Source organism: Homo sapiens, chromosome 13 (assembly GCF_000001405.40).
Source record: "Homo sapiens chromosome 13, GRCh38.p14 Primary Assembly".
NCBI classification, from domain to species: Eukaryota; Metazoa; Chordata; class Mammalia; order Primates; family Hominidae; genus Homo; species Homo sapiens.
In genome coordinates, this window is record NC_000013.11 from 100,076,627 (window position 1) to 100,084,492 (window position 7,866).

The 7,866-nt window shown below is 49.2% G+C and overlaps 1 annotated feature.

Moving 5' to 3' along the window:
• Window positions 3,127-3,647: an enhancer, noted in NCBI's record as "OCT4-NANOG hESC enhancer chr13:100732007-100732527 (GRCh37/hg19 assembly coordinates)". NCBI's record gives its function as "activates a minimal SCP1, AML or CMV promoter by ChIP-STARR-seq in naive H9 embryonic stem cells {active_cell/tissue: H9 hESC(naive)}" and the evidence as "EXISTENCE:reporter gene assay evidence [ECO:0000049][PMID:30033119]".

Sequence of the window (7,866 nt, forward strand, 5' to 3'; positions counted from 1 at the left end):
GCAGGAGAATGGTGTGAACCCGGGAGGTGGAGCTTGCAGTGAGCCGAGATGGCGCCACTGCACCCCAGCCTGGGAGACAGAGCGAGACTCAGTCTCAAAAAAAGAACAGACAAACATGCAACAGATGTCTGTGGTGCTCCAAGCCTGAAAATCTGTCCCTTTAGAGAAAGTTTGCCAGTCACTGCCCTGGGTGTCCTCCACTGTTGAATTCTTTGAGAAAGAATGCTTGCCACATACTTATATGCCTAGGTTGTTATTCACTGGATAAATACTATTCTTTTTTTTTTTTTGAGGCAGAGTCTCACTCTGTCATCCAGGCTGGGGTGCAGTGGCGTGATCTCAGCTCATTGCAACCTCTGCCTCCTGGGTTCAAGCTGTTAGAAATGCTTGTTCCTCAGTGCCGTAAATAAATAGCACTTGAACATAAATTTAATTTCCTCAGCAAGGCCATTTTTACTTTATGCAGAAAGGGTACACTCACCCGCAGTTTTGCCATGAGAGTACACCAAACAAAGGAGACAAGGACATTCATAACCTGAGGTGTCCACCCTACTGCTGTGTCCGGTTTCCATTGGCTGGAATGGGACCTCACATTCTGTATTTGTCCTGATTGGCTAGCAACTTAGAACTTTTAAAAGAGGCAAAGGCAGAGGAGAACAAAGGAAGGAGGAAGTCACTTGTGGAATGCTGAGAAAAGTAAAAATGAGAGGTGACAGCGTGCTGGCAGTCCTCACAGCCCTTGCTCGCTCTTGGCACCTCCTTTGCCTGGGCTCCTCCCACTTTGGCAGCACTTGAGGAGCCCTTCAGCCCACCGCTGCACTGTGGGAGCCCCTTTCTGGGCTGGCCAAGGCGGGAGCCGGCTCCCTCAGCTTCCAGGGAGGTGTGGAGGGAGAGGCGCAAGCGGGAACCGGGGCTGCGCTCAGTGCTTGTGGGCCAGCTGGAGTTCCGGGTGGGCGTGGGCTTGGTGGGCCCCGCACTCGGAGCAGCCAGCCGGCCCTGCCGGCCCCGGGCAATGAGGGGCTTAGCACCCGGGCCAGTGGCTGTGGAGGGTGTACTGGGTCCCCCAGCAGTGCTGGCCCACCGGTGCTGCGCTCGATTTCTCCCCGGGCTTTAGCTGCCTTCCTGCAGGGCAGGGCTCGGGACCTGCAGCCCGCCATGCCTGAGCCTCCCACCTCCTCCATAGGCTCCTGTGCGGGGGAAGCCTCCCTGATGAGCGCTGCCCCCTGCTCTACGGCGCCCAGTCCCATCGACCACCCAACGGCTGAGGAGTGCGGGCACACAGCGTAGGACTGGCCGGCAGCTCCACCTGCAGCCCTGGTGTGGGATCCACTGGGTGAAGCCAGCTGGGCTCCTGAGTCTGGTGGGGACGTGGAGAACCTTTATGTCTAGCTCAGGGATTGTAAATACACCAATCGGCACTCTGTATCTAGCTCAAGGTTTGTAAACACACCAATCAGCACCCTGTGTCTAGCTCAGGGTTTGTGAATGCACCAATCGACACTCTGTATCTAGCTACTCTGGTGGGGACTTGGAGAACCTTTGTGTTGACACTCTGTATCTAGCTAATCTGGTGGGGACGTGGAGAACCTTTGTGTCTAGCTCATGGATTGTAAACGCACCAATCAGCCCTGTCAAAATAGACCACTCGGCTCTACCAATCAGCAGGATGTGGGTAGGGCCAGATAAGAGAATAAAAGCAGGCTGCCCGAGCCAGCAGTGGCAAACCGCTTGGGTCCCCTTCCACACTGTGGAAGCTTTGTTCTTTCGTTCTTTGCAATAAATCTTGCTACTGCTCACTCTTTGGGTCCACACTGCCTTTATGAGCTGTAACACTCACTGTGAAGGTCTGCAGCTTCACTCCTGAAGCCAGCGAGCCCACGAGCCCACTGGGAGGAACGAACAACTCCAGATGCGCCAACTTAAGAGCTGTAACACTCACCGCGAAGGTCTGCAGCTTCACTCCTGAGCCAGCGAGACCACGAACCCACCAGAAGGAAGAAACTCTGAACACATCTGAACATCAGAAGGAACAAACTCCGGACACGCTGCCTTTAAGAACTGTAACACTCACTGCGAGTGTCCGTGGCTTCATTCTTGAAGTCAGTGAGACCAAGAACCCACCAATTCTGGACACATTTTGGTGACCACGAAGGGACCTTCACTTATCACCAAGTGGTGAGACAATTGCCGAGCGGTGAGACTATCGCCTATCGCCGAACGGTGAGACCTTCGCCTAGCGTTGAGTGGTGAGACCATCGGACCCCTTTTGCTTGTTATTCTGTCCTATCTTTCCTTATAATTCAGGGGCTAAATACCAGCCACCTGTCGGCCAGTTAAAAGCAACTAGCACGGCTGCCGGAATAAAGACACGGGTGTCAGGCTTTCTGGGAAAGGGCTCTCTAACAACCCCCGACTCTTCAGAGTTGGGACCATTGGTTTGCCTAGAATCAGCTTCTGCTTTTCCTATACTTCTGGGCTGAGCTGAGGGTCGACAGAGAGGAAAGCCATGCAGCTCCGAGGTCCTGACAACAAGTTAGTTGACCCTGCGGCCATGAGCAGAACTCTGAAAGGCATGTCGCCCAAGCGAGACTCGCCCATCTATCCTGACCCTTGCCCCCGGGTCCTAATGCCTGCCAGACAAACTTCCTCTCGCCTCTCTTCTCCAAGGCTTGTCCTGCTTCTAAAAATTGCTACCTGTCTCTGGTGCTTTTCTAGTTTCTCCTATAAGAATGATTTCTAGTATAAACTCCAGGACTCTGTTACCTTCTTTAGGTACCAGGGCTCACCAATCAGAAAGACATAATTTTTGCCCAAAGCCCCGTCATAGTGGGGACTACCTGGAATTTTAGGATCCCTCCTCAGACTGATAGGCCTAACAAAGCTATTCCTGAAGCTAGGATATGGGGAGCCTCAGAAAGTGTATCCTTCATATTCATATAAGTGAGGACAAAAGGTGTCACTCTTCCAACCCTGGAGATCCCTGCCCTCCCTCAGGGTATGGCCCTCCACTTCATTTATGGGGCATAACATCTTTATAGGACGGGGTAAAGTCCCAATACTAACAGGAGAATGCTTAGGACTCTAACAGGATTTTGAGAATGCGTCGGTAAGGGCCACTAAATCCGATTTTTCTCGGTTGGTCCTCCTTGTGGTCTAGGAGGACAGGCAAGGGTGCAGGTTTTCGAGAATGCGTCGGTAAGGACCATTAAATCCGACCTTCCTTGGTCCTCCATGTGGTCTGGGAGGAAAACTAGTGTTTCTGCTGCTGCTTCAGTGAGCGCAACTATTCCGATCAGCAGGGTCCAGGGACTGTTGCGGGTTCTTGGGCAGGGGGAGAAACAAAACAAACCAAAACTGCAGGCGGTTTTGTCTTTTAGATGGGAAACACTCAGGCATCAACAGGCTCACCCTTGAAACGCATCCTAAGCCACTGGGACCAATTTGACCCACAAACCCTAAAAAAGAGGTGGCTCATTTTTTTCTGCACTATGGCTTGGCCCCAATATTCTCTCTCTCATGGGGAAAAATGGCCACCCGAGGGAAGTACAAATTACAATACTATCCTGTAGCTTGACCTTTTCTGTAAGAGGGAAGGCAAATGGAGTGGAATACCTTATGTCCAAGCTTTCTTTTCATTGAGGGAGAATACACAGCTATGCAAAGCTTGCAATTTACATCCCACAGGAGGACCTCTCAGCTTACCCCCATATCCTAGCCTCCCTATAGCTCCCCTTCCTATGAATGATAATCCTCCTCTAATCTCCCCTGCCCAGAAGGAAATAAGCAAAGAAATCTCCAAAGGACCACAAAACCCTCCTGGCTATTGGTTATGTCCCCTTCAAGCTGTAGGGGGAGGGGAATTTGGCCCAACCCGGGTACATGTCCCCTTCTCCCTCTCTGATTTAAAGCAGATCAAGGCCGACCTGGGGAAGTTTTCAGATGATCCTGATAGGTACATAGATGTCCTACAAGGTCTAGGGCAAACCTTCGACCTCGCTTGGAGAGACGTCATGCTACTGTGAGATCAAACCCTGGTCTTTAATGTAAAGAATGCGGCTTTAGCTGCAGCCCAAGAGTTTGGAGATACCTGGTATCTTAGTCAAGTAAATGATAGAATGGCAGCTGAAAAAAGGGACAAATTTCCTACCAGTCAGCAAGCCATCCCCAGTATGGATCCCTACTGGGACCTTAACTTGGATCATGGGGACTGGAGTTGTAAACATCTGTTGACCTATGTTCTAGAAGGACTAAGGAGAATTAGAAAAAAGCCCATGAATTATTCAATGATGTCCACCATAACTCAGGGAAAGGAAGAAAATCCTTCTGCCTTCCTCAAGTGGCTATGAGAGGCCTTAAGAAAATATACTCCCCTGTCACCCGAATCACTTGAGGGTCAATTGATTCTAAAAGTTGTTTATTACCCAATCAGCTGCAGGTATCAGGAGAAAGCTCGAAAAGCAAGCCAGGGCCCTGAACAAAATCTAGAGGCATTATTAAACCTGGCAACCTTGGTGTTCTATAATAGGGACCAAGAGGAACAGGCCCAAAAGGAAAAGCGAGATCAGAGAAAGGCCGCAGCCTTAGTCATGGCCCTCAGACAAACAAACCTTGGTGGTTCAAAGAGGACAGAAAATGGAGCAGGCCAATCACCTGGTAGGGCTTGTTATCAGTGTGGTTTACTAGGACACTTTTAAAAAGATTGTCCAATGAGAAACAAGCTTCCCCCTCGTCTATGTCCACTATGCCGAGGCAATCACTGGAAGGTGCACTGCCCCAGAGGACGAAGATTCCCTGGGTCAGAAGCCCCCAACCAGATGATCCAACAACAGGACTGAGGGTGCCCGGGGCAAGCGCCAGCTCATGTCATCACCCTCACTGAGCCCCGGGTATGTTTAACTATTGAGGTCCAGGAAATTGACTTCCTCCTGGACACTGGCACGGCCTTCTCAGTGTTAATCGCCTGTCCTGGATGACTGTCCTCAAGGTCCATTACCATCCGAGGAATCCTGGGACAGCCTGTAACCAGGTATTTCTCCCACCTCCTCAGTCGTAATTGGAAGACTTTGCTCTTTTCACATGCCTTTCTTGTTGTGCCTGAAAGTCCCACACCCTTATTAGGGAGGGATATATTAGCCAAGGCTGGAGCTATTATCTACATGAATATGGGGAACAAGTTACCCATTTGTTGTCCCCTACTTGAGGAGGGAATCAACCCTGAAGTCTGGGCATTGGAAGGACAATTTGGAGGGGCAAAAAATGCCTGCCCAGTCCAAATCAGGTTAAAAGATCCCACCACTTTTCCTTATCAAAGGCAATATCCCTTAAGGCCTGAAGCTCATAAAGGATTACAGAATATTGTTAAACATTTGAAAGCTCAAGCCTTAGTGAGGAAATGCAGCAGTCCCTGCAACACCCCAATTCTAGGAGTACAAAAACCAAATGGTCAGTGGAGACTAGTGCAAGATCTTAGACTCATTAATGAGGCAGTAATTCCACTATATCCAGTTGTACCCAACCCCTATACCCTGCTCTCTCAAATACCAGAGGAAGCAGAATGCTTCACAGTTCTGGACCTCAAGGATGCCTTCTTCTGTATTCCCCTGCATTCTGATTCCCAGTTCCTCTTTGCCTTTGAGGATCCCACAGACCACACATCCCATCTTACGTGGACGGTCTTGCCCCAAGGGTTTAGGGATAGCCCTCATCGGTTTGGTCAGGCCCTAGCCCAAGATCTAGGCCACTTCTCAAGTCCAGGCACTCTGGTCCTTCAATATGTGGATGATTTACTTTTGGCTACCAGTTCAGAAGCCTCGTGCCAGCAGGCTACTCTAGATCTCTTGAACTTTCTAGCTAATCAAGGGTACAAGGTGTCTAGGTCAAAGGCCCAGCTTTGCCTACAGCAGGTTAAATATCTAGGCCTAATCTTAGCCAAAGGGACCAGGGCCCTCATCAAGGAACGAATACAGCCTATACTGGCTTATCCTTGCCCTAAGACATTAAAACAGTTGCGGGGGTTCCTTGGAATTACCGGCTTTTGCCAACTATGGATCCCCGGATACAGCGAGATAGCCAGGCCCCTCTATACTCTAATCAAGGACACCCAGAGGGCAAATACTCATCTAGTAGAATGGGAATCAGAGGCAGAAACAGCCTTCAAAACCTTAAAGCAGGCCCTAGTACAAGCGCCAGGTTTAAGCCTTCCCACAGGACAAAACTTCTCTTTATATGTCACAGAGAGAGCCGGGATAGCTCTTGGAGTCCTTACTCAGACTCGTGGGACAACCCCACAACCAGTGGCACACCTAAGTAAGGAAACTGATGTAGTAGCAAAAGGCTGGCCTCACTGTTTAAGGGTAGTTGCAGCAGTGGCCGTCTTAGTGTCAGAGGCTATCAAAATAATACAAGGAAAGGATCTCATTGTCTGGACTACTCATGAAGTAAATGGCATACTAGGTGAAAAGGAAGTTTATGGCTATCAGACAAACGCCTATTTAGATACCAGGCGCTCTGCCTTGAGGGACTGGTGCTTCAAATACGCACGTGTGTGGCCTCCAACCCTTCCACTTTTCTCCCAGAAAAGTGGACTTAGAAGTCCCCTTCTAAGTCCTTCTAAGACTTAGAAGTCTCCCAGAAAAGGGGACTGAGAAGTCCCCTTAACTAATCCTGACCTTAACCTATATACCGATGGAAGTTCATTTGTGGAGAATGGGATACGAAGGGCAGGTCACGCCATAGTTAGTGAAGTAACCACACTTGAAAGCAAGCCTCTTCCCCCAGGGACCAGTGCCCAGTTAGCGGAACTAGTGGCACTTACCTGAGCCTTAGAACTGGGAAAGGGATAAAGAATAAATGTGTATACAGATAGCAAGTATGCTCATCTAATCCTACATGCCCATGCTGCAATACGGAAAGAGAGGGAGTTCCTAACCTCTGGGGGAACCCCCATCAAATACCACGAGGAAATTATAGAGTTATTGCACGCAGCGGAAAAACCCAAGGAGGTGGCAGTCTTACACTGACAAAGCCATCAAAATGGGAAGGAGAGGGGAGAACAGCAGCATAAGCGGCTGGCAGAGGTAGGGAAAGACCAGCAAGAATGAAAGAGAGAAAGAAAGTCAGAAAGAGAGACAGAGAGACAGAAACAGAGAGACAAAGAGAAGGAGTCAGAGAGAAAGAGGGACAGACACAGAAAGTCAGAGTCAGAAAGAGAGGAAGAGACAAAGAAGTCAACGAGAAAGAGAGATGGAAGTAGTAAAGAAAAAACAGTGTATCCCATTCCTTTAAAAGCCAGGGTAAAGTTCTTTCTACCCAGACAAGGCATATTCTTCTTATGTGGAACATCGACCTATATCTGCCTCCCCACTAACTGGACAAGCATCTGCACCTTAGTCTAAGTCCCAACATTAACACTGCCCCAGGAAATTAGACCTTATCAGTACCCCTCAAAGCTCAAGTCAGTCAGCGCAGAGCCATACAACTAATACCCCTACTTATAGGGTTAGGAATGGCTACTGCTACAGGAACCAGAATAGCCGGTTTATCTACTTCATTATCCTACTACCACACACTCTCAAAGGATTTCTCAGACATTCTGCAAGAAATAATGAAATCTATTCTTACTTTATAATCCCAAATAGACTCTTTGGCAGCAGTGACTCTCCAAAACCGCCAAGGCCTAGTCCTCCTCACTGCTGAAAAAGGAGGACTCTGCACCTTCTTAGGGGAAGAGTGTTGTTTTTACACTAACCAGTCGGGGATAGTATGAGGTGCCGCCTAGTATTTACAGGAAAAGGCTTCTGAAATCAGATGCCTTTCAAATTCTTATACCAACCTCTGGAGTTGGGCAACATGGCTTCTCCCCTTTCT